Raw genomic sequence first — 25896 nt, forward strand, 5'->3', positions numbered from 1 at the left:
TGTGGCTTCAAATACTTTTTAATTTATTAAATAAAAACATGAAAGCCGTGAATTTAGTGCTCTCCATCTCGGGCCTTCCTGGCCTGGTCTCTGGGAAGATAAGGGTCAGGAGCGGGCTGGGTGGAGAGCTCATTTCTTGCCCTTGCCCTTCTCCTTGCCTTTCTGCTTGCCCTTCTCCTTGTCCTTTGCTTTGCCCTTGCCCCGCTTCTTCTTGGATCTGAGCAGGGAGCGCACCAGATAGCCCTTCCATAGGGCCTGGATGAGCGTGGCCGCCCGTACCATGCGCACCATCTCCTGCTCTGCCTCCATCCTTTTCTTGGAGTTGATCTCCCGCTCTTCCCGGATCTGCGCAAACTCTCCCACCAGCACTTTGTGCCTCCGCCTGAGCTCCTCCAGCGAGATCTTCTCCTCCCTGTGAACAGCGTCCAGATCCTCCAACTCCTCCTGGGGTGAGGGGTGGGGCTGGGGTCACCACACATAGAGTGCCTCCTCCCACCCTCCTCCCTGAGGCCCCCTTACCCTTCCCAAATGGTCTTCTGCCCCAGCGATGCCCCTAAGCTAAGCTGTTCAGCATCTCTCGGTCCCAGTGACATGGATGGGGAGAGGGGATGGGCTCCATCCTAGCTCTAGGAAGGACCCAACTGAAATAATTTCAGGAACAGGAAAAGAACATGGGCTTGTGAGTTGGGCAGACTTAGTTTTAAGTCCCAGCTCTGCCACACCTCAACTGACTTCACCTTTCGGGCCTTCGTTTTTCCTCATCTGAAACATGGGGACGATTCCGAAGCCAGGGGCTGTTTCTAGGATTAAATGACCCGATGGACACAATGTACTGGACATGATGCCAGGCACACAGTGGGGACACAAGAAATGGAGGCTGCTGCCATGAAAGCAGTCTGTTCCACAAGACACCAGAGGAGAAGGAACTTTCTCAGGCCTCAAACGGAGTCCCAGAGTTCTTCCTTATGTCTAACCATAGCCTCTCCTGCTGTCATTTACACCCGTTTTCCTTCCTTCCACTGATGTTTTCCCAGCATCTACAAAAAGCAGAGCACTGCCAGAGGACACAGAGCTGGGTGGACAAAGTCCCTGCCCGCAACCAACCCACAACCCTCATGGGACCCAGAGAAATGAGAGCCCCCGCCTGCAAAGCTCCCCTCTCCAGGCCCTGATGGTTGCCCAGGACAAGGTTCTGACTTGCCCTTCTCTGAAGAGCACACCTGGCTTTGGCTCACTCCAGCGCATATTACCTCCAGTGCTCTCCAGTGCTCCCCAGTCCTCCCTGGCCCCTGGGTTGGAGCCATGGGCCACCAATGTTATCCCAGTGCTGGGTGAAGGGTTTGGGCGTGTCTCGATTTGAAGGTTACCACCCCCTGAGCACTTCCCTCCAGGCCAGACCCTGTGCTGGGCACACACACTTGCAGCCATGGTGTCTCACCGAATCCCCGCCATGGTCCCAAAATGGGAATTACTGCCTTTGCTAATCAGATGCAGAAACGGGCTTGGGAAGGTCAAGTACCTTGCTTAAGGCCACACAGCTGGCACATCTCAGGTGCTCAATAAAAACTGGCTGAGTGACTGAGTGATGCAGTGGAGGCAGGCTCCCATCTGAGTCTGTGGGAAGGAGCCCCACCTTGTAGGGGTGCTGGCAGGAGCCCATCCAGAGGAGTATGGGATGTGGACACTAGATGGAGCCATGATCATTAGGCCCAGTGTCAGAGTGTCAGGCCCTTCTAGCCAGTCGCTTTTTTTTTTTTTTTTTTTTTAAATTAATAGAGATGGAGTCTTGCTCTGTTGCCCAGGCCGGTCTTGAATTACTGAGCTCAAGCGATCCTCCCACCTCAGCCTCCCAACGTGCTGGGATTACAGGCATGAGCCACAGCACCTGGCCTTGCAGCTTCTGGCTCTTTTCTTTCCCACCTCTCACTCTGCCCCAGGCTGGACAAACCCTTTAAACAAAGGGAAGTGCTCCCTGCAGAGAGGCTCAGAAGTTTGCCCACTCCATGGACCATCCCAAGGCTACTTTTCCCATTCATCCCATTCCTAGAAGGTCTTGGGAAAAGCATGCGAGAGAGACTTATTCAGCGACAAATACCTGCTTCTCACCCATCTCTGTATCATATTTCTGGATCCAGTTCTCGATTTCCGTTTCCACTTTATATTTCTTCTAGAAAAGATCCAATTTGTCATTGTTTGATGGAATATATTAACAATCAACAGCACTGAGCACTCTCTGCATCACTAGGCTCTGGCAGGTGCTTGACATGCCTCGCCTATTGAACAAGGAGGTTCCCTTTTCTCCATTTCACAGGGGAGAGAACTGAGGCTCAGACATGCTATCTTACTTGCCCAAGGTGACAGAGCTAATGGGTGGCAGAGCCTGAATTTGATGCCAGCAGCCTGGTTCCAGGACATCCTAGGCAGAGAAAGCAGCAGGTGCAAAGGCCCTGAGGTAGGAACAAGCTTGTGCTGTTTAAAGGACAGAAATCAGCCTGGCGTGGTGGCTTACGCCTGTAATCCCAGCGCTTTGGGAGGCTGAGGCAGGCGGGTCACTTGAGGCCAGGAGTTTGAGACCAGCCTGGCCAACATGCCAAAACCCCATCTCTACTAAAGATACAAAAATTAGCCAGGCATGGTGATGCACACCTGTAATCTCAGCTACTCAGGAGGCTGAGGCAGGAGAATCACTTGAACCCAGGAGGCAGAGTTTGCAGTGAGCTGAGATCATGCCACCACACTCCAGCCTGGGTGACAGAGCAAGACTGTCTCAAAAAATAAAAATTAAAAAAAAAATTAAAGGACAGAAATCAAGCCAGTGTGACTGGAAGGGAGTGGCGAGGAGGAAAGTGGTCCCCAACAAGGTCCAAGGAAAAGGCTGTGTCACAGAGGGAGTGTCAGCAAGAGGAGGCTGTATTCTCAGGAAAGGGTGAGGTGAAGCCACTGGGTGATTTAGATGCAGTGGAGGGACATGATCTAATCTTGTTTTTAAAAGATTATTTCCACCATAAAAAGCAGTGAAGCACTGATCCATGCTACAACATGGGTGAACCTTGAAAACACAGTGCTAAGTAAAACATGCCAGACACAACGGCCACAGAAGATTCCATTCATATGAAGTGTCTAGAATAGGTGAATCCACAGAGACAGAAAGCACATTAGTGATTGCCAGGGACAGGGGGAATAAGGGAATGGGGAGTAACTTCTTAATGGATATGGAGTTTTATTTTGAGGTGATAATGTTTTGGAACTAGATAGAAGTGGTGGAAGTGGGGGTGGCACAACATCGTGAATATACTAAATGCCACTGAATTGCTCATTTTAAAATGGTTTTATGTTATGTAAGTTTCACCTAAATTAAAAATAAGCAGGCTGGGCCAGTGGCTCATCCCAACCATTTGGGAGGCCACGGTGGGAATGGGAGAATTGCTTGAGGCCACAAGTTCTAGATCAGCCTGGGCAACAGAGCAAAACCCTGTCTCCACAAAAAATGATACTTTTTTTTTTTCTTTTGAGATGGAGTTTCGCTCTGTCACCCAGGCTGGAGTGCAGTGGTGTGATCTCGGTTCACCGCAACCCCCGCCTCCTGAGTTCAAGCAATTCTCATGCCTCAGCCTCCCAAGTAGCTGGGATTACAGGTGCATGCCACCACGCCCGGCTAATTTTGTATTTTTAGTAGAGACAGGGTTTCACCACATTGGCCAGGCTGGTCTCGAACTCCTGACCTCAGGAGATCCGTCTGCCTCAGCCTCCCAAAGTGCTGGGATTACAGGCGTGAGCCACTGCTCCCAGCCAATAATAATAATTTGTAATTAGCCAGACGTGGTGACATGCCCCAGCGACCCATGAGGGCTGAGATGGGAGGATCACTTGAGCCCAGGAGTTGGAGGCTGAAGTGAGCTATGATCACGCCACTGCACTCTGGCATGGGTGACAGAGTGAGACCCTGTCTCAAACATAAATAAATAAATAAATAAATAAATAAACCCCCTAATCCTACAGAGCAAGAGCCCTTAGCTTGGGCACCATGGGTAGGCCGGCTTCAGGGGGACTGGGCTCCCCAGGGAACTGTCCACTAGGATGTGTAAGTGCATCTGTGCCTTCTTTCTGGGGGAGAGGCCCGTGGCTTCCATCAGATGCTCAAGAGTGTGACACTAAGAGACTGGAGACAAGTATTAAAAAGGGTGCCTTTTACAAGGAAAGAGATTTGGAAGTTGGGTGTGTGCTAGGCCTGGGTCTTGGCTGAGATGATGAAGGAGAAGGCAAATGAAGGTTTTGGGTTTTTTTTTTTAAGAGGCAAGGTTTCACTCTGTTGACCTGGCTGGAATGCAGTGGCACAGTTATAGTTCACTGCAGCCTCCAAACTCCTGGGCTAAAGTGATCCTCCTGCCTCAGCCTCCCAAGTAGCTGGGACTATAGGCACACATCACAGCGCCTGACTAATTTATCTTTTATTCTTTGTACAGACAGGGTCTTGCTGTTGCCCAGGCTGGAGTGCAGTGGTGCAATCACAGCTCACTGCAGCCTCCGCCTCCTGGGTTCAAGCGATCCTCCCACCTCAGCCTCCCAAAGTGTTGGGATTACAGGCATGAGCCACCTTACCCGGTCAGAAATGATATTTATTGAACACTTACTATGCACCAGCTCTCTCACTACCATCTCATGTAATTCTCATGTAACAACCATTAAGACCAATGTTAGCATTTTCATTTCTGAGGTGTGAAATCGGCAGCTGGGCAGGAGTTGAGTAATTAGCCTGAGCTTTACATGCTACTTCTTCATTCCTTTGCAGGGCACCCAGCCTCTGACGATGTGGGTATTATCCCTGTGGGGTCTCAGGAGTTGAGGAACTTGCCCAAGGTCACAAAGCTGGCATGCAGCAATGCTGGGACAGGATCCCAGTTTGTCCCCTGTCCCCAGGCCTGTGTGCTGCCCCTTCCTGCCTCCCAGGAGACACTGGCTTGGATTTGGGCCTTCCCTGCTCCTGTGCCCTTCCCCTCCACCAAGCCACTTCCTGAGTAGCTGGTGCAGTCCTGCCCTGCCCAACACTGCTGGACCTCCAGGAGTGATGGAACAGTCCCACCCATCCCCCCCACCAGGGGCCCCCTCGGCCCATCCTCGCTGCTTCCCGGGGCACCTTCCTCAGCGCCTGCTCTGCCTCCCGGTTCTCCATGACCAGGTTGTAAAACTGTGACTGCAGCTGCAGGATCTCCTGCTGGATCTTGGCCACCCTGGCCTGTGATGCCCGGAAATCGGCCTTCTGCTGCTTCTCAGCCTCCTGCTTAGTGCGAACGAGGCTGTTCTCTGAGAACTTGAGCACCTGGTGCAGGTGGTTTTTCAGTTCTTGGATCACAAAGTTCTCCTTTTCCACCTAAGCCAGGAAGAGAAAGGGCTCCGTTAATACCTCCATGCCCAGCCGGGCACAGTGGCTCACGCCTGTAATCCCAACACTTAGGGAGGCTGAGGTGGGTGGGTCACCTGAGGTCAGGAGTTTGAGACCAGCCTGGCTAACATGATGAAATCCCGTCTCTTCTAAAAATACAAAAATTAGCTGGGTGTGGTGGTGCATGCCTGTAATCCCAGCTACTCGGGAGGCTGAGGCAGGAGAATCACTTGAATACAGGAAGTAGAGATTGCAGTGAGCGGAGATATCATACCACTGCACTTTTACTTGGGTGACAGAGTGAGATTCCATCTCAAAAAAAAAAGCAACTCTCCATATCCACTGACAGTCACCAGAGGCTGGCACCACTGCATCCTCCCTCAGGGCCAGGCATGCCACCTGGGTTATATCTCTCTAATCACACCCCCAACCCCACAATGGAGGTCAGGGACAGCCTGATTACAGACAAGACAACTGAGGCTCAAGGAGGTGGCTTCATCTGTCTGGGGTTGCCCAGCTGAACTGGGGCCTGAAGCCAGGTTTGTCTGACCTTGAGCCCACGTTCTTGGCCACCACTTTCTATTTCCTTGCACGAGTGAAGGGTACAAGCTTGTTGGATTGAGGCCACAGGGGAGGACTGGGACAGCGGCGATGCTCCTCCTGGGGACACAGCAGGGGAGGCCCAGCTGGCAGAGACACTTAGTGGGGTGCATGAAGGTGTGCGATGAACACAGGCTGCAGGGATTGCCACCGGGCTCTTTCTTGAGGGCCCATGTCTGGCTTGTCCCCTGCCTTGGGTGGATTCTAGAACAGGAATGGGGGTGGAGGATGAGACAGTTTTGTAAAGAAGCTCTCAAGGCTTCTCACTACACTAGAGTCTCCCTCTGAGCACAGCGGTGCTATGGCTGCTCACGCCACCATCTTGGGCTTGGGTCAGCTGGCAGCAGGCCCGCCGGGCATCTGCTCACTTCCTGCACACTGGGGGCAGGGAGGCAGTGCCTTTGGGGCAAGCCCATCCTGCAGGCAAGGCTTTAGGCACCAGGCGCTGGGAATATGATCGGCAGTCAGAGCTCTCCCTGTAGACTCCCCACACGTGCCTGATTGGTGTCTCCCCTCACTGTACACTGAGGTTCAATGACATGAAATTTGCCCACCTGGCAAAAATGGCATTTGAGCCCAGGTCAGTCCAAGGTGAAGCCCCAAGCTGGTTCTAGCACCTGAATGAGACCAGCAGGGCCACCTGTGTCCCTCTGCCTATTCCTAGATGATGCCCCTCCCACCTTACTAGTAACCTCCCTGCCCGAGGGCTCAGCAGCTGGTCCTCTGTCCACTCAACAAGTATACATCATGCCCCTCTTTTGGACAGGCTCACTGGGGACACAGTGGCAGGCTGAAAGAGACAAGGTCCCCCTTTTCTTGTGGAGGAGCCAGACCCCTCAAGACCACACAAATCACACACACATATGTTATCCACAAAGTCAGGTGAATGTTATCCACAAAGTCAGGTGAATGCTTTAAAGGACAAATTCAGTGAGAAGTGCCCAACCCAGCACCAGGGAGGGGGCTGTGAATAGTTTCCCAGGGCCTTGAACCTTTCATCAGTGGTGGGGGATAGAAACAGAAGGGCCTGTGGCAGTGCAGCCTGGCTACCCCCATGTCTGCTCTCCCCAGAGAGGCTGTGGGGTAGAATGTGGAGCATAACACAGCCCCAGTGACGGGTGGTCGGTCCTTCCTAGCACTTCTCTCTGCTGGGTGTGGCTACAAGATATGCATGGAAGTTCTGTGTGCCACCTCCACACGTGTCCTTAAGGGGCAGAACCAAGCCCTCTCCTCCCCTTTCCTCCTTCCTGCTGGCTAGACTGGGGGCCACATGATGGGGAAAGCTGGAGCAGCCATCTTGGCCCACAAGCAGAAGTCCCATGTTGGGGACAGCAGGGAAGTCACATAGAAGAAACCAGACCTCTGACAAGTTGGGGAGCAGAGATGCCACACCAGCTCCGGTGTTTCCACTACAGAGAAATACACTGCCATCTTGACTAAGCCACAGCTATTTTGGGTGTCTCTGTTATAGCAGCCAAATCTGTACTCATACACCATCTCACAGGGTTTTTGTAAAGATTTAGAGAGAAAATGTATGTTAAACTAAATACACTGTATGTGTGCAATATGACAATTATTATTAGGGTTTGGGATCATGCTACTGTTTCCCTTTTTTTTTTGAGACAGGGTCTTGCTCTGCAGCCAGGCTGGAGTACAGTGGTGCGATCTCAGCTCCCTGCAACCTCTGCCTTCTGGGCGCAAGTGATCCTCCCACCTCAGCTTCCTGAGTAGCTGGGACTACAGGTGCATACCACCACGCCCAGCTAATTTTGTCTTTTACGTAGAGACAGGGTTTTGCCGTGTTGCCCAGGCTGGTCTCAAACTCCTGAGCTCAAGTGATCCACCTGCCTTGGCCTCCCAAAGTGTTGGGATTACAGGCGTGAGCCACCACACCGCCATTTCCCTTCTTAACAATTCTTCTAACTGGTGTGGTATGCCTATAATCCTAGCTACTCAGGAGGCTGAGGCTGGAGGATCCCTTGAAGCTAGGAGTTTAAGACCAGCCTGGGTAACAGAGTAAGACCCCTCCCCTCCCCTCCCCACCCCTTCCCTTCCCTTCCCTTTCATTGAGACAGAGTCTCACTCTGTCGCACAGGCTGGAGTATGATGGTGCAATCTAGGCTCACTGCAATCTCCACTTCCTGGGTTCAAGCAATTCTTGTGCCTCAGCCTCCCGAGTAGCTGAGATTATAGGTGCACGCCACCACACCCAGCTAATTTTTATATTATGAGTAGAGATGGGGTTTCACCATGTTGGTCAGGCTGGTCTCGAACTCCTGACCTTAGGTGATCTGCCTGCCTCAGCCTCCCAAAGTGCTGGGATTACAGGCATGAGCCACTGTGCCCAGCTAATTTTTTTTTTTTTTTTTTTTTTTTTGTAGAGATGGGGTTTCACCCTGTTGCCCAGGCTGGTCTTGAACTCTTGACCTCAAGTGATCCATCTGCCTTGGCTTCCCAAAGTGCTGGGATTATAGGTGTGAGCCACTACTTCCAGCCAGACACCCCATCTCTAAAAAAAGAAAAAAAATTAATTAGGCAGGCATGGTGGCATGTGCCTGTAGTCACAGCTACTTGGGAGGCTGAGGCAGGGAGATTGCTTGAGCCCAGGAGTTCGAAACCAGCCTGGGCAACATAGCGAGACCCTGTCTCTACAAAAATGTAAAAAATTAGCCAAGAGTGGTGGCGCATGCCTGTAGTTTCAGCTACTCAAAAGGCTAAGGCAGGAGAATCGCCCAGGAGGTCAAGGCCGCAGTGAGCTATGAACGTGCCAATGCACTCAAGCCTGGGTGACAGAGCAAGATCTTGTCTCTAAAACTAAAAACTTCTAGAAACCAAATTCCTTGATTAGGCCTCAAAGGCCCTGTGTGATCTGTCTCCTTCCCCTGCTTTCCCAGCCCATCTTTGTCCCTTCCCTCTAGCTCACTGGCATTCTCTGGGTTTCTGAACTAGCCAGGCTTATTCTTGTCTCATTACTGAGGTGCACTCTACCCTCCACCTGGAACAGGGGTTGGCAAACTATGGCCCACAGGCCGAATCCAGCCAGCCACTTGTATTTGTAAGTAAAGTTTTGTTGGAACACAGCCCATTCATTTACATATTGTTTGTGGCTGCTTTTCCCCTATAACAGCAAAGCTGAGTTGAGTAATTGCAACAGACCATCTGGCCCACAAAGCCTAATGTTTTTACTATCTGGCCCTTTGTAGAAAAAGTTGGGGCCAGGTGCGGTGGCTCACACATGTAATTCCAGCACTTTGGGAGGCTGAGGTGGGAGGTGGGAGGATCACTTGAGACCAGGAATTCAAGAACAGCCTGGCCAAAATGGCAAAACTCTGTCTCTACTAAAAGATACAAAAATTAGCCAGGCGTGGTGGCACATGCCTGTAATCCCAGCTACTCAGGAGGCTGAGGCACAAGAATCACTTGAACCTGGGAGGTGAAGGCTGCAGTAAGCTGAGATCATGCCATTATACTCCAGCTTGGGCATAGAGTAAGACTGTCTCAAAAAAAAAAAAATAGTTCGCTGATCCCTAGCTTGGAAGGTTCTTCCTCACTGCACTTGCCTGGTTCACGCCCTCGCATTCTTCATATCTTGGCTTCAATGTCCCTGACCTTTTGGTGTTAAGTTCTCCTGTAACACTCCCTTTGAGAAGTACATTGTACTTCTCAAAACTGTAATTAAATGAATTCTTTAATTCCTACCTTCCTTACTGTGAACTCCATGAGGCTGGAACCACATGGGCTTATTTATAAGACCTGGCACCTAGTAAGTACTTACAATAATTTGTGGAGTAAATGAATTTTTTTTTAAAAAAAAAAAGCTACTTAGGCCAGGCGCAGTGGCTCACGCCTATAATCCCAGCACTTTGGGAGGCCAAGGCGGGCAGATCACTTAGGGTCAGGAGTTCAAGACCAGCCTGGCCAACACGGTGAAACCCCATCTCTACTAAAAATAAAAAAATTAGCTGGGCATTGTGGCGGGCACCTGTAGTCCCAGAGACTCGGGAGGCTGAGCCAGAAGAATTGCTTGAACCCAGGATGTAGAAAATGAAATAGAGGTTCCTCTTCAAAGGGACTTTCCTCCCAGTCTAATTCAGAATAGGTAGTAACCTCTCTTAGAACCAAAATTTACTCGAAGACCTGTGTTAATATTCTTCAATTCTGCTAGCTGTAATAAAGAAATCAGGCCGGGCGCGGTGGCTCATGCCAGTAATCCCAGCACTTTGGGAGGCCGAGGCGGGTGGATCATGAGGTCAGGAGATCGAGACCATCCTGGCTAACAAGGTGAAACCCCGTCTCTACTAAAAATACAAAAAATTAGCCGGGCGCGGTGGCGGGCGCCTGTAGTCCCAGCTACTCGGGAGGCTGAGGCAGGAGAATGGCGTGAACCCGGGAAGCGGAGCTTGCAGTGAGCCGAGATTGCGCCACTGCAGTCCGCAGTCCGGCTTCCGGCCTGGGCGACAGAGCGAGACTCCGTCTCAAAAAAAAAAAAAAAAAAAAAAGAAATCAATAGGCCGGGCGTGGTGACTCACGCCTGTAATCCCAGCACTTTGGGGGGCAGAGGTGGGCGGATCACGAGGTCAGGAGATCGAGACTATCCTGGCTAACACGGTGAAACCCCATCTCTACTAAAAATACAAAAAAAAAATTAGCTGGGTATGGTGGTGGGCACCTGTAGTCCCAGCTACTCGGGAGGCTGAGGCAGGAGAATGGTGTGACCCTGGAGGCGGAGCTTGCAGTGAGCTGATATCACACCACTGCACTCCAGCCTGGGTGACAGAGCAAGACTCCGCCTCAAAAAAAAAAAAAAAAAAGAAATCAATATACTCTGTTCTTAGCTCCCACATTTTAGCTTAGATATTTGCCTTGGCATACCTGAACCGGTCCAAGCAAGCATTAGGTCATAGCCTATTCCTCTTCCTTATTTGGAGGTGTTTTTGCCTCTCTCAGCATTCCAGGAGTTACTTGCTCTCTTCCTTTGTTTCCCTCTGCCTTTGCCTCTTTTGGGAAGTTCTAAATTGCTAGCCAATCGGGTTGAGTACAGAATGTGAGGTCCTGTTCCAGCCAATGGAAACTGGACACAGCAGTAGGGTGGATGCGTCAGGTTATAAATGACCCCGTCTCTTTTGTTCATGTGTGCTCTTGTGGCAAGACTGCTAGCAAGCAGCACCCTTTCTGCAGAGAGTAAACTAGCCTTGCTGAGAGATCCTTTGTCTCAGTGTTGATTTTGGCGACACCGAGCACCCATTCCCAACACAGGAGGCGGAGGTTGCAGTGAATCAAGATGTTGCCACTGCACTTTAGCCTGGGTGACACAGCAAGACTCCATCTTAAAAAAAAAAAAATCACTGGGGAGGCCGGGCATAGTGGCTCATGCCTGTAACCCCAGCACTTTGGGAGGCCAAGGCGGAAGGATCTCTTGAACCCAGAAGTTCGAGACCAACCTGGGCAACGTAGCAAGAGCCCATCTTTACAAACAATCAAAAAATTAGCCAGGCATGGTGACACACACCTGTAGTCTCAGCTACTTGGGAGGGTGAGATGGGAGGATTGCTTAAGCCTGAGAGATGGAGGCTGCAGTGTGCTGTGATCATGCCACTGCACTCTAGCCTGGGCAACAGAGTGAGACCCTGTCTCAAAAAAATCAGTCAATCAATTGGCCAGGCGCAGTGGCCAGCACTTTGGGAGGCCAAAGCAGGAGGATCACTTGAGGTCAGGAGTTCTAGACCAGCCTGGCCAACATGGCGAAAACCTGTCTCTACTAAAAATACAAAAATTAGCCGGGCGTGGTGGCATACGCCTGTAATCCCAACTACTTGGGAGGCTGTGGTGGGAGAATCGCTTGAACCTGGGAGGCAGAGGTTGCAGTGAGTCGAGATTACACCACTGCACTCTAGTCTGGACAACAGAGCGAGACTCCATCTTAAAAAAAAAATCAATCATTGAGGAAAAACCCAACCAACAAAAGATTTGTGTGGCTTCTTCAGTAATTTCAGCAATACTATGAAACAATACCTCTGCATTCCTGTTCTTCATTCTCTCCGCCAATTCCTTTTCAAGAGTATCAATGATTTGTTGGTTATTACTATTCTGTCTACTGATATCCTGTAAGAACTGGGCCTTATCCCTCGCTTCCATGGGACTAGTGAGTAGTTTTTCAAACAGGAAACCACGGAGCTCTATCAGGCTGTCAATAAAATTCTGGGCTTCTGCACTTCTACCCTGTGTCTGCATCTGCAGGAGCCTAGCAGCCTGGGGGTTGCTGAGCAAGAGTCTAAGGACGTTCTTGGTGGAGTCTTTGATCTGCTGCATAAGTGGTGAGAGGCTGGATTTCTGCAGCTCTATGGAAAGGAGGCGGTCTCTGAGCCACCCTTCCTCCTCAGCCTCTTTCTGCTCCTGCAATTGCCTTTCTTTCTCTTTCAGGCACCTGACGTTTTCAAGGAGGACCTGGCAGAGATCCTCATGCTCTCTCACTGCCCTCATGACGTCCTCCCCCAGCATCCCCTCCATATCCTCTCTGTTGGATGCCACATACGACAGCAAGGTCACCAGCTCCACCTTGTAGATCGCCTCATCCAGGATGGACATGATCCTTTTGGCCTCAATGGTGGTGAGTTTGGTCCTAGAGAGAACCAAGGGTTTTAGTGGATCAGCTGGCCTTTTAGATGGGTCTGTCTTTGGCCCTATTCTGTTGATGGCAGGGGCCTGATACAAAGGGGCCATGGCGAGAATGTCTAAAGCCATCTTGTGAGCAGCCCTCTGTGCCTCTGTAGGTCCACAGAGATGGAGACTTCGGTAGACTACTTGGGTCTCGTGCTTTTATTGTCTCTGGCCATCCTGCAAAATGAAGAAGTAGGTGTGAGTGCAGCTGTGCTGACATCTGTGTGGTTAGTGTGGCTGCAGAAACCACAACTGTTGACATCAAGAGTTCATCTTAGGTCCTCTGTCGCTTTTACACAGAACCTTTCACTGGAAGCAGTTTTCAGCTTTGTGAGGGTGTTAGGGCCACAAGGGCAGGAAGACCAAGTGTGGAGGCATCTCAGGCACATGTGTCAGGCGGGGACCAGCCAGGCATACAGACAGCATTCTAAGGATTTAAAACCAGAGACTGGTTACATCAGTGATGGGAGAGTTGAGAGGCCAACCAGGGGAAGACAAAGCCATCCCGCAATTGTCAATGGCAGGAAGCCACCACATGAAGAGATGGTGAGCCTGGGGCCCAGGGTCACCCAGGGGAAGTTTGAACCACAGCCATCAGTTCCCAGAGGAGCTAGAGACATTGCCGGAAATGCAGATTAAAGAAGGGTGGCGGTGGGGGAGGAGAAATACCCTGGTTTCTTTCTACTGCCCTTGGCCAAAACCAGCAGGAAACCAACTGACAAGCAGCCTGGGCGACGGAACCACAGGCCTCAGCCTATGTCTGAGCAGGACAGGGACAGGGCAGAATGCAGTGTAAGACTAACAGGACTAGGAATGGCACATTTTCACTGATTTTAAAGTTTTTTGGTTTGTTTGTTTATTTGTTTTGAGACAGAGTCTTGCTCTGTCGCCCAGGCTGCAGTGCAGTGCCATGATCTCGGCTCACTGCAACCTCTGCCTCCTGGGTTCAAGTGATTCTCCTGCCTCAGCCTCCTGAGCAGCTGGGACTACAGGTGCACACCACCACGCCTGGCTAATCTTTGTATTTTTAGTAGAGACAGGGTTTTGCCATGTTTGCCAGGCTGTTCTCAATCCACCTGCCTTTGCCTCCCAAAGTGCTGGGATTACAGGCCTGAGCCACCACGCCTGGCCATTTTTAAGTACTGATTTTAAAAATTGGTGGGTGAAATATAACTTTGAAATACAATTTAAAAAACTGTTTCACTAAATGTAATGTTGTATTCTGGATTGGGTTCTGGAGTGGAAAAAGGACATTAGTGGAACTGGAGAAATCCAAATCCAAATCCAAATCTAGTCTAAAGTTTAGTTAATAGCATTGTACCAACATTAATTTTGTAGGCGCTCTGTTACCCTGGCTGGAGTGCAATAGTGTGACCATGGCTCACTCCAGCCTCGACCTACTGGGCTCAAGTGATCCTCCTGTCTCAGCCTCTCAAGTAGCTAGGACTATAGGTGCTCGATGCCTAGCTAATTTTTTAACTTTTTATAGAGATGAGCTCCACTATGTTGCCCAGACTGATCTTGAACTCCTAGGCTCAAGCAATCCTCCCACCTTAGCCTCCCAGTGCTGGGAATACAGACAGGAGCCACCGTGCCGGGCCTAATTTTGTGGTTTTGACAAACACATCAAGGTTATCTAAGATGTTAACATTAGGGGGAGCAGAATGGAGGGCATACGGGAACTCTCTGTACTATCTTTGCAACTTTTCTATAAATCTACAATTATTACAAAGTAAAAAGTTTAGTTAAAAGACTATTTCAGGCCAGGCATGGTAGCTCACACCTGTAATCACAGCACTGTGGGAGGCCGAGGGAGGTGGATCATCTGAGGTCAGGAGTTCAAGACAAGCCTGGCCAACATGGCGAAACCCCGTCTCTAATAAAAATACGAGAGAATGCCAGGCATGGTGGTACGCACCTGTTACTCAGGTTAACCCCAGTTACTCAGGAGGCTGAGGCATGAGAATCTCTTGAACCTAGGAGGCGGAGGTTGCAGTAAGCCAAGTTTGCATCACTGTACTCCGGCCTGGGCAACAGAATGAGACTCTGTTTCAAAAGATAGATAGACAAATAAATAACTGTTTCAGAAAAATCTATAGGGCAATCAGAGATCAGTAATTTATATTGCTTTCATAGTACAATGGCTAAAAGTACTAGCTTTGCACAGCCCCACTTGGGTTCAAATCCTTGCTGGGGGTCTCTGGGCTGGTCATTTAATCCTCCAGAGCTTGGGCTTCCTCAGCTGTAAAACAAGAGTCCTCAGGATGAATGAGAAGCCTGCACGCTGTAAAAAATGTTCAATAAATAACTAATAGCACTAACCCAGGAAAACGAAAATCCCAAGTCCAGGACTTTAATGATTTCTGATGCAATTGCTGAACGAACACCTACTGCCTTGGCCAAGCACAGGGGCTCACGCCTGTAATCCTAGCACTTTGGGAGGTTGAAGTGGGAGGATCGCTTGAGCCCAGGAGTTCAAGACCAGCCCAGGCAACATAGCAAGTCCCCATCTCTTAAAAAAGAAAAAAAGAAAAAAAAAAAAAAAAGAACACCTACTGCCCAGGATGTCTGCTCACCCCCCAACACCATGTCTCAGATGGACACCCCCCATAACATCCCCATCCCTCACCCTGATTCTTCTTCATCTCTTCCCCCTTATCCTGTTCGTTCTCCAGGTTAAGTATCACCATCTGACATCCCTATATGCACCTGTTTATTTGTTTATTGTCTGTCTTTCCCCCTCTCCTAAGAAGTAAGCACCAATGAAAGCTGTAAGTTACTACTTACAGGTTACCTGTGCCACTTTTATTTTCATATTGTCTGTAGATGTGAGAAATGTTTTGAAGAAAGAATCATTAGGACTTGAGTGAAAGAGTTTTGAGTTTGGGTGACTGGTAGAGAAAGATGGGGCCCTTAAGAAACTATGGCAGAAATTGGGAGAGGAGAGGACATTTGGAGGGGAGGACAATGAGCTCACTTTTAAACTCATTGAGCTCTAGCTGCCATACTGCAGTGGACAATGGTGTCTTGGCCTTCCCATTATCCAGGGAGTGCAGTGGCACGATCATGGCTCACTGCAACCTCGACTTCCTGGGCTCAAACAGTCCTCCTGCCTCATGCTCCCGAGTAGCTGATACTACAGGCACGTGCCACCATTCCCAGCTAATTATTGTATTTTTATTTTTGTAGATATAGGGTCTTGCTATGTTGCCCAGGAGAAGGAAGTGACACTTGAAGCCACAAAAGATAACTTCAACTCACCAAACCAAAGAACACACCAAGAGAATGGCAGGGAATCAAAGAAACACCCAAAGTGACTAAGAACGAAAAAGAAAGGCAGGCCAGATCAGGTGCTAAGGATGTTTAGTTCCTTGGCAAGGCAGAATGTATTCAATATCAGGCCAGGTATCATGGTTCACGCCCGTAATCCCAACACTTTGGGAGGCTGAGGCAGGAGGATTTGTTGAGCCCAGGAGTTTGAGGATGCAGTGAGCTATGATCAGGCCACTGCATTCCAGCCTGAGCAACAGAGTGAGATCTTGTCTCTTAAAAAAACAAAAAAACAAAAAACAAACCAGAAGCCCCTTTGGGAGCAGAGGATTGGGAATTATCTTCAATCACTTTGATTCACACACACTTCCTGCTCCCTAATGAATCTCATGAGATCCTTTGAGGCTTTTCCTGAAGACAAAGTTTTAGGAGGCTGGGCATGGTGGCTCACAGCTGCAATCCAAGCACTTTGGGAGGCCAAGGAGGGAAGATTCCTTGAGCCCAGGAGTTCAAGATCAGCATGGGCAACAAAATGAGACCTCTACAAAAAGTTAAAAAAAAAATTAGCCTGTCATGGTGGCAGGTGCCTGTAGTCCCCGCTATTTGGGGAGCTGAGGCAGGAGGATTGCTTGAGCCAGGGAGGTTGAGGCTACAGTGAGCCATGATCGCACCACTGCACTCCAGCCTGGGTGACAGAGCGAGATCCTATCTCTCCTCTTTTTTTTTTTTTTTTTTAAGCTGGAGTTTTGCTGTTGTCACCCAGGCTGGAGTGCAATGGTGTGATTTGGGCTCACTGCAACCTCTGCCTCCCAGGTACAAGCAGTCTCCTGTCTCAGCCTCCCAAGTAGCTGGGATTACAGGCGTGCACCACCACGCTAGCCTAATTTTGTATTTTTAATAGAGACAGGGTTTCATCATGTTGGCCAGTCTGGTCTCAAACTCCTGACCTCAGGTGATCTGCCCACCTTGGCCTCCCAAAGTGGTGGGATTACAGGCGTGAGCCACCATGCCCAGCCTAGATCCTATCTTGTAAGTGAAAAAAAAGTTTTAGGGACAGCCATGGAGATTTCTCAGGCTCTCTGAGGATGAAGGATCTTTGCCCATGGCTACAGGATGAATGTGAACAAGGTAGTTAATGAATGCAGTCCTCTCCATTGTACCCCAAAGCTCTCAGGCATAAATCAAAATGCCTGAATTCTTCAGAGAGTGCGGCTGGAAACGCAACGTTACATGAAATGTTTCCAATTTGCTTTCAGCCAAATTACCTCTTTTGCTTTAAAGGGCAAACTTGTTTTCTTTGATTATGATGACACCCATCATTTCTTGACAGCTCATTTGGGTGAACAAGATAAAGCCCGTGGAACTAGGATTGAGGGGAAATGCATCTGACTCTGACGACAAAAATGACTGGAGAATCTCTTTTCCTTGAATCCTAATATGATCATTTCATGTCCTTTTTAATGCCACCAACCTTAATATTTAAATCATTTCCAACTTAAGCATCTCCGTTTAAAATTCCTGCCCTGAGAGTGAAGCAAATTGTTAATGGATGGGAAACTTTAATTGGATATTCCCTTTATTTGTCATTAATTCTGCTGATGAACTTTATAAATGGAAATATATCTTTATCATGCAAATTATACCTCGTCTTCATTCAAACAGGCTTGTTGGATATTTTATTAATTTTGCTCTTAGAATATTTTGAGGAAAAAAAAGATTTGAACTAAATTATATATTTTTTCCCCCTGGAGAGAAGGAAAAAACCCAACACTTAACAACTACCCTACAAATCCAAACTGGCAAGTGGAAAAGTCAGAGGGTGCTAAAAAAAAAAAAAAAAAAAAAAAAAAAACCAAAACAACTGGAGTGTGGGAAATGGATTTCTCTCTCTCTTTTTAAATTCACTCTTAATTTAGGTTCGGGTTACATGTGCAGGTTTGTTATATAGGTAAATTTCATGTCATGGGGGTTTGGTGTACAGATTATTTCATCACCCAGGTAATAAGCATAGTACCTGATAGGTAGTTTTTCCATCCTCATCCGGATCTCATTTTAAGGAATACCATTTTAACATTAGCTAAGTAAGTTCTTGAGAACTTACTGTGTAGCAGACACTGTTCTGAATGCTATATACGAATTAATTCCTTTAATCCTTGCAACAACCCTATGAGGTAGGTGCTATTATTACCTCTATTTCACAGATGAAGAAAGGGAGACAGAGAGAGAGGTTAGATGATTCTAGTTAGTTTACAGCTAGGAAGTGACAGGGCCTGCACCCCATCAGCACTATTCTGTCCAGTCTCTTGATTTTAAGATTGACTTCTGGCCGGGCGCAGTGGCCCACGCCTGTAATGCCACCACTTTGGGAGGCTAAGGCAGGTTGATCACTTGAGGTCAGGAGTTTGAGACCAACCTGGCCAACATGGTGAAACCCTGTCCCTACTAAAAATACAAAAATTAGCTGGGCATGGTGGTGGGCACCTGTGGAGGCTGAGGCGGGAGAATTGCTTGAACCTGGGAGGTGGAGGTTGCAGTGAGCCGAGATTGCAGCACTGCACTCCAGCCTGGGTGACACAGTGAGACTCTGTCTCAAAAAAAACAAAAACAAAAAACAAAAAAACCAAGGTCTTGCTATGTTGCCCAGGCTGGTCTTGAACTCCTGGGCTCAAGAGGAATTTTCTTTTTAGCCTCAGAAAGATCTCACTACCCTCCAAACCTCTAGCTTTCTTCCGAACTCTGTATGTTTTATCTGAGGCTTTCAAGTCTAGGGAGGGGGAAAGTGAGGGGCTAGAAAGAAGCAACAGATTCATGATGAAACCTGCTATCCCAACCAACTACTATACAGTAGGTGCTCAATAAAGAAATCACTGTTGCGGTTGGGCTCAGTGGCTCACACCTGTAATTCCAGCACTGTGGGAGGCCGAGGCAGGTGGATCACCTGAGGTCAGGAGTTTGAGACCAGCCTGGGCAATATGGCGAAACATCTCTACTAAAAATACAAAAATTAGCCGGGTGTGGTGAAACATGCCTGTAATCCCAACTACTTGGGAGGCTGAGGCAGGAGAATCACTTGAACCAGGGAAATGGAAGTTGCAGTGAGCTGAGATCGCACCACTGCACACTCCAGCCTGGGTGACAGCGTGAGACTCCGTCTCAAAAAAAAAAAAAAAAAAAAAGAGAAAAAAAGAGAAAAGAAAAAGAAATCACTGTTGAATAAATGAGATGGCAAACCCAGATTTACCAACAGGCTTGTCTCCTCACTGGGAGATGCTGGCATAATAGGATAATGTTGTTTTGCAAAATATATATGTCCTGAATTGGAGCCAGAAAAGAGAGTCATATTTTCATGATAGAACTGTAGGCCAACAATTGGCCTATGAATTCTTTTGCATCCCTTTACTCAGGGCTTGGAATTTTTTAAACAAAAGTTTTAAATGTAATGAATTTTTTACTTTTTCATAGTTGAGTGGTTTTTTTTTTCTTTCTGTGACTAATTTTGAACTATTACCCAATCCTCCTCTCTTGTTCTTTTTGAGAACCTGTGTTTTATGGTTTACAACTGGTCTGTAAAAGATTCCCAGGCTAGGGCTGCAGCAATGAATGCTGGAGGTATTGACAGTTGGGACCCTGTTTGTAATGCTGGCTGGGTGGCTGCAGGCTCCAGGATTATCTGGTGCTTTGGAGACAGAGGACATGGGATAGTGACTCAGATTGGGAGGGAACATGCCCCCCGGGACAGATTTCTATGTTGCTGGTTATGATGAAATACTTTCCACTGACCACAAGCTATATAGCCTTGGGCAAGTCCACTTGATCTTCTGGGCTTTCATTTCCTCATTACTGAAGTGGAAACGAAAAACACATTTGGAATGCAATTCCAGTGTCTCACCACTTCCTGGCTGTGTGGCTTTGGGTAAGTCGATTAACCTCTCTAAGCCTTGACGTTCTACCTGTGAAATGGGACACAGCACTGTTGAGGGAATGAAATGAAATCCTTGCTCAAAAGTGTTACGCTTTTATGACTTTTAGTACTACTTCAAAAATTATGTTAATATCAACACTTTAATGTTTCTTAAAATAGATGTGCTTTTCCACAAAATAATATGGTATATGTTTTTGTATCAAAGGCTTTATAAAAAGTCAAAACAGAAGCAGTTTTTACTCCTTTTTACTATTTTGTTTTTAATTTTGCTGGTTTCTGCATTATTCATGTTCTCCTGTTAGTGACCGAAGAAGACCAAGTTCCCTTAAATCACTCCCCATTGTCCAGTCTCCCCTCCTTATCAATCAGTTCATCAGGAATTTTAATTCCTCTTTTGGTTACAGTGTCACTTTAGAAATGCTTATTTCTGGTTATATCTAAGTGTAGACAGCATCACTTTGGCAGTTTCAGACAGAAGGAAGAATTTCCTAGTAGTGAATTTAGATTATTCTATAATCAACTTCTCCAACTTGAAAAAAATATTTAACTACTACACACCTATTAGAATGGACAAAATCTAGAACACCGACAACTCCAAATGCTGGTGAGGATGTGAAGCAGAAACTCTGTCATTGCTGGTGGGAATGCAACATGGTGCGGCCACTTGGGAAGACAGTTGTTTTCTTACAAATTTAAACCTGCTCTTACTGTACGATCCAGTAATTGCACTCCTTGGTGTTTACCCAAAGGAGTTGAAAACTCATGTGCACACAAAAACCTGCACACACAAAAAGCTTATGGATATTTATAGCAGCTTCATTCACAACTGCCAAAATTTGGAAGCAACCAAGATGTCCTTCAGGAGCTGAGTAGATAAACAGTGGGGCATCCCGACAATGGAATACAGGATTATTCAGTGTTAAAAAGAAATGAGCTGTCAAGCCACGAAAAGACATGGAAGAAACTTAAATGCATATCACTAAGTGAAAGAAGCCAATCTGAAGAAGCTGCATATGGTATCACTCCAACTATATGACATTCTGGCAAAGGCAAAACTATGGAGATAGTAAAAAGATCAGTGTTGTCTAAGGGCTGGGGGAAGGGAGGGATGAATAGGCAGAACAGGGAGGATTTTTAGGGCAGTGAAAATACTATGTACCTTACTACAATGATGGATACCATCATTATACATTTGTCCAAATTCACAGAATGTACAACACCAAGCGTGAACCCTTATCCCTTATGTAAACTATGGAATTTGGATGCTGCTGCTGATGTGTCAATGTAGGTTCATCAACTGTAACAAATGCACCACTCTGGTGGGGGAGGTTGACGGTGGGGCAGGCTGTGCATGTGGGAATAGGGGGTATGTAGGAACTCTCTCTACCTTTCTCTCAATTTTGCTGTGAATCTAAAACTGCTTAAAAAATAAAATCTTAAGGTTGTAACCCTTTACTGGGCAGTGAAATCAGTTTGCCAACTGGGACTAGAGTTAAAATTAAACGAAACAGGGTTGGGTGCGGTGGCTCACTCCTGTAATCTTTGGGATTACAGGACTTTGGGAGCACTTTGGGAGGCCGAGGTGGGTGGATCACCTGAGGTCAAGAGTTCGAGACCAAGCCTGGCTATCATGGTGAAACCCAGTCTCTACTAAAAATACAGAAATTAGCAGCGCATGGTGTTGGGCACCTGTAATTCCAGCTACCTGGTAGGCTGAGGCAGGAGAATCGCTTGAACCCAAGAGGCGTAGGTTGCAGTGAGCTGAGATTGCACCACTGCACTCCAGCCTGGGCAACAGAGAAAGGCTCTGTCTCAAAAAAACAAAACAAAAAACAGCCTATCTCAAACCCGTCCTGCTCTCAGGCACTAATGTATAATGTTCCTTTTGTCAGAAACCAACCCCCCAGGAATAATTTCTCCCTAGATTAACAATTTCTCATTCTTTAGGTCTTAGCTCAATGGCTACCCCTCCTCAGACTGGAACAGACAGCACTTTACAACCTGTGGAAACTCTCTCACCTTTCCTGCATAGTACTAATCACACGTGTAATTTTTTTTTTTTTACAGCTCTATTGAGGTATAATTTACATTACCATAAAATTCACCCATTGTAAGTGTAAAACTCAGTGACTATTTTTGTAAATGTATCTGAAGTTGCCACATCACTACAATCCAGTTTTAGAACATTTCTATCACTCCCCCCAAATTCCCATGAGCTAATCTGCAAACAATCTCTGCTTCCACTCACATTTTTTGTTGTGGTTGTTTTGTTTTTGAAACTGAGTCTCGCTCTGTCGCCCAGGCTGGAGTGCAGTGGCGTAATCTCGGCTCACTGCAACCTCCACCCCCCTGGTTCAAGCAATTCTCGTGCCTCAGCCTCCCAAGTAGCTGGGATTACAGGTGCGTGTTACCACGCTTGGCTAATTTTTACGTTTTTAGGAGAGACAGGGTTTCAGCATGTTGCCCAGGCTGGTCTTGAACTCCCGGGCTCAAGTAATCCACCTTCCTTGGCCTCCCAAAGTGCTGGAATTGCAAGCGTGAGCCACTGCCCCTGGCCTCCACTCATATGTAACTTTCCTGGATAGTTCATATAAATGGGATCATGCAGTATGTAATTGTTTGCATCTGACTTTTTGCTTAGCACAGTGGTTTTCAACCTGGGGCAACTTTGCCCTCCAGAAGACATTTGGCAATAATCGGGAGATGCATTTGCTTGTCACAACTGAGAGAGGCTACTACTGGCATCTTGTAGGTAGAGGCTCGTAATATTGCTAAATATCCTACAATTGGCAGGATAGTTCCCCACAACAAAGAATTTTCTCACCCAAAACATCAATAGAGCTGAGGTTGAAAAACCCTGACCTTTTTTTTTTTTTTTTGAGATGGAGTTTTGCTCTCGTTTCCCAGGCTGGAGTGCCATGGCGTGATCTCGGCTCACTGCAACCTCTGCCTCCTGGGTTCAAGCGATTCTCCTGCCTCAGCCTCCCAAGTAGCTGGGATTACAGGCATGCGCCACCACGCGCAGCTAATTTTTTTTTTTTGTATTTTTAGTAGAGACGGGGTTTCTCCATGTTGGTCAGGCTGGTCTCAAATTCCCTACCTCAGGTGATCTGCCTGCCTTGGCCTCCCAAAGTGCTGGGATTTACAGGCGTGAGCCACCGTGCCCGGCTGCCTTTTTTTTTTAATAGACAGGGTCTTACTCTGTCACGCAGGCTAGAGTGCAGCAGTGCAACCATGGATTACTGTAGCCTTGACCTCCCCAGGCTCAGGTGATCCTCCCACCTCAGCCTTCTGAATAGTTGGGACTACAGGTGCATACCACCATGCCTGGCTAATTTTTGTATTTTTTGTAGAGATAGGGTCTCACTTTGTTACCAGGCTCCTAGGCTCAAACTCCTAGGCTCAAACTAGGATCCTCCTGCCTTGGCCTCCCAAATTGCTGGGATTACAGGCGTGAGCCACTGGGCCAAAAACCCTCAACTTAACATGTTTTTGAGGTTCATCCAGGTTGTAGCAATTATTAGTATTTCATTCCTGAATAGTATTTTATTGCTGAATAGTATTCCATTCTAAGGAAATATCATGAGTTATTTATTTATTCACCTGTTGATGACATTTGGGTTGTTTCCAGTTTTGGGCTGTTAAGGGTGATGTTGCTAAGAACATTTATATTTAAGTCTTTGTGTGGACTTATGTTTTCACTTGGGAGGGGTAACTTCCTAAGAGTGGAATTGCTAGGTTATGTGTAAGTTTATTTTTTGTTTTATTTATTTATTTTTGAGACAGGGTCTCACTCTGTCACATAGACTGGAGTGCAGTGGCACGATCTCGGCTCACTGCAACCTCCGCCTCCTGGGTTCAGGTGATTCTCCTGCCTCAGCCTCCCAAATGGCTGGGATTACAGGGACCCGCCAGCATGCCCTGCTAATTTTTGTATTTTTAGTAGAGACGGGGTTTTGCTATGTTGGCCAGGCTGGTCTCGAACTCCTGACCTCAGGTGATCCACCTGCCTGTGCCTCCTACAGTGCTGGGATTACAGGCACGAGCCACTGTGCCTGGCCTATGTTTAACTTTTTAAGAAACTGCCAACTATATTTCAGATTGGTGGTACCAATTGGTATTCTGCTGTACCTACCGGCAACATATGAAAGCTACAGTTTGTTTATTTATCTACATGATGATACTTGGTATTGTCTTTTTGATTTTTAAATGTCTACTCAACTCTTTTGCCCATTAAAAAAATTGAGTTGTCCTCTTATTGAGTTATAAGAGTTATTTTTATATTCTATATACAACTCTTTTATGACACATGATTTGCAAATATTTCCTCCATGTCTGTGTCTGTGGCTGATCTTTTCATTTTCTTATGAAAATATCTTTTGAACCTCAAAGTTTTTTTTTTATATATTTTTTTGAGACAGGGTTTTTCGCTCTGTCGCCCAGGCTGGAGTGCAGTAGTGCAATCATGGCTCACCGCAACCTCCGCCTCTTGCGATCAAGCAATTCTCCCACCTCAGCCTTATTTATTTATTTATTTATTTATTTATTTTTTGAGCTGGAGTCTCGCTCTATCACCCAGACTGGAGTGCAGTGGCACGATCTCGGCTCGCTGCAACCTCCACCACCCGGGTTCAAGAAATTCTCCCGCTCAGCCTCCTGAGTAGCTGGGATCACAGGCACACGCCACCAGGCCCGGCTAATTTTTGTATTTTTAGTAGAGACAGGGTTTCACCATGTTGGCCAGGCTAGTCGCAAACTCCTGGCCTCAGGTGATCTGCTGGCCCAGGTGATCTGCTGGCCTCGGCCTCCCAAAGTGCTGGGATTACAGGCTGAGCCACCGCGCCCGGCCCTTAGCCTCATTTAATCATCACAAGAAACTCTCTGTCTTCAGTAGGTACAATGAGATCACATCTTAAGGATGGAGATGGGAGTTAAATTCCAAAGTTAGGATAAAGGCAAAAGTGGTGTAATAAAAATTACCTAATTTATTTATTTATTTGAGACAGAGTCTTGCTCTGTTGCCCGGGCTGGAGTGCAATGGCGCTATCTTGGCTTACTGCAACCTAAGTCTCCCGGGTTCAAGTGATTCTCGTGCCTTAGCCTCCCGAGTAGTTGGGATTACAGGTGCGCCTCCATGCTCAGCTAATTTTTGTATTTTCAGTAGAGATGGGGTTTCACCATACTGGCTAGGCTGGCCTAGAACTCCTGACCTCAAGTGATCTGCCCGCCTCGGCCTCCCAAAGTGCTGGGATTACAGGCGTGAGCCACCATGCTCGGCAAAAACAACAACAACAACAACAAAACAAACAAACAAAACTACCTAATTTAAACACTGAAGTGAGATTGCCTGCTCACCGAGGAACGTATGGCCGTTGGGTGAAATGGGAGGGGACTTATAAACTCCCCTCCCACCCACAGCTCCCATGTTTGACTTGAAATAAGTTAACTACGATATGACTCTGCTTGACTGTTGTCCTCCTCGTTTTAGGGATGAGGGAGTGGAGCCATGAAGTGGGCAGGTAGAAGGGCAGAATGGAGGCCGGCTCCCTGCAGGTTGTGGAGCGAAAGGTCCAGACTAAGGCAGGAGCTGAGGGACAGGGTCCTGAAGCTGAGACGAGATCGCAGCGGGGGCTTCTAATTCCTCAGGGAGCCAAAGGACAGAGGGCTGAACCCTATTCCACATCTCCCCCGATCCGCGACCCTTTCCCAACTGGCTACTCACCTGCTCTGACCGCTCCAGGTTTCCCTAGCCACAGTTACCGCCGCGGTCCCTGCGTTGCTAGGTTACCCGCCAATCTCAGAAGGCGAGACTCGGTGTCTGACTGACCTTTCTTTTCACCATTCAATTTATTGTTCCGCTCAGTTGTCCCCACCTCCTGAAGTCTGACCAATCAGAAGCACCGCCATTTTGACCTTTCACCAATGGAAAGACTTGGGACTCCCTCTGGGTTGGACTCAACGAGTAAGGCGGGGAACAAGGGAGGAGTAAGGGGCGTGGATTCTTCGTCCCGCCCCTTCTTAAGGAGGCGGGCAGGGAGTACCGCATCGGCGGCGGGCGAGACCTGCG

The 25896-nt window shown here is 47.8% G+C and overlaps 1 protein-coding gene across 11 annotated transcripts, besides 6 other annotated features; it reads right to left on the reverse strand.

Annotated features, from left to right (window-relative positions):
* DRC10 (dynein regulatory complex subunit 10) lies at nucleotides 1-25649 on the reverse strand. 11 transcript variants are annotated; one of them, XM_047428260.1, is made up of 6 exons: nucleotides 25552-25649; nucleotides 14556-14683; nucleotides 11993-12814; nucleotides 5139-5368; nucleotides 2096-2167; nucleotides 1-444 (listed from the first exon to the last, which is right to left on the reverse strand). In XM_047428260.1, exons 3-6 carry the CDS (start codon nucleotides 12719-12721, stop codon nucleotides 54-56), a joined length of 1422 nt encoding a protein of 473 aa, XP_047284216.1. In that variant the 5' UTR covers nucleotides 12722-12814; nucleotides 14556-14683; nucleotides 25552-25649; the 3' UTR covers nucleotides 1-53. The 11 variants fall into 11 exon arrangements, with proteins under 11 accessions (XP_047284216.1, XP_047284220.1, XP_005253891.1 ...); XM_047428264.1 differs by lacking the exon at nucleotides 14556-14683 and having other exon boundaries at nucleotides 12536-12814; XM_005253834.5 differs by lacking the exon at nucleotides 14556-14683 and having other exon boundaries at nucleotides 5135-5368; nucleotides 12536-12814.
* Nucleotides 6615-7506: an enhancer, noted in NCBI's record as "H3K27ac-H3K4me1 hESC enhancer chr12:113639865-113640756 (GRCh37/hg19 assembly coordinates)". NCBI's record gives its function as "activates a minimal SCP1, AML or CMV promoter by ChIP-STARR-seq in naive H9 embryonic stem cells {active_cell/tissue: H9 hESC(naive)}" and the evidence as "EXISTENCE:reporter gene assay evidence [ECO:0000049][PMID:30033119]".
* Nucleotides 9185-9254: an enhancer, noted in NCBI's record as "active region_7064". NCBI's record gives its function as "activates an Ori minimal core promoter by ATAC-STARR-seq in GM12878 lymphoblastoid cells {active_cell/tissue: GM12878}" and the evidence as "EXISTENCE:reporter gene assay evidence [ECO:0000049][PMID:35858748]".
* Nucleotides 12604-12733: an enhancer, noted in NCBI's record as "active region_7065". NCBI's record gives its function as "activates an Ori minimal core promoter by ATAC-STARR-seq in GM12878 lymphoblastoid cells {active_cell/tissue: GM12878}" and the evidence as "EXISTENCE:reporter gene assay evidence [ECO:0000049][PMID:35858748]".
* Nucleotides 12944-13253: an enhancer, noted in NCBI's record as "active region_7066". NCBI's record gives its function as "activates an Ori minimal core promoter by ATAC-STARR-seq in GM12878 lymphoblastoid cells {active_cell/tissue: GM12878}" and the evidence as "EXISTENCE:reporter gene assay evidence [ECO:0000049][PMID:35858748]".
* Nucleotides 13404-13563: an enhancer, noted in NCBI's record as "active region_7067". NCBI's record gives its function as "activates an Ori minimal core promoter by ATAC-STARR-seq in GM12878 lymphoblastoid cells {active_cell/tissue: GM12878}" and the evidence as "EXISTENCE:reporter gene assay evidence [ECO:0000049][PMID:35858748]".
* Nucleotides 25248-25397: an enhancer, noted in NCBI's record as "active region_7068". NCBI's record gives its function as "activates an Ori minimal core promoter by ATAC-STARR-seq in GM12878 lymphoblastoid cells {active_cell/tissue: GM12878}" and the evidence as "EXISTENCE:reporter gene assay evidence [ECO:0000049][PMID:35858748]".
* Nucleotides 25650-25896: the final 247 nt, after the last annotated feature.

This window comes from Homo sapiens, chromosome 12 (genome assembly GCF_000001405.40).
Source record: "Homo sapiens chromosome 12, GRCh38.p14 Primary Assembly".
Lineage (NCBI taxonomy): Eukaryota > Metazoa > Chordata > Mammalia > Primates > Hominidae > Homo > Homo sapiens.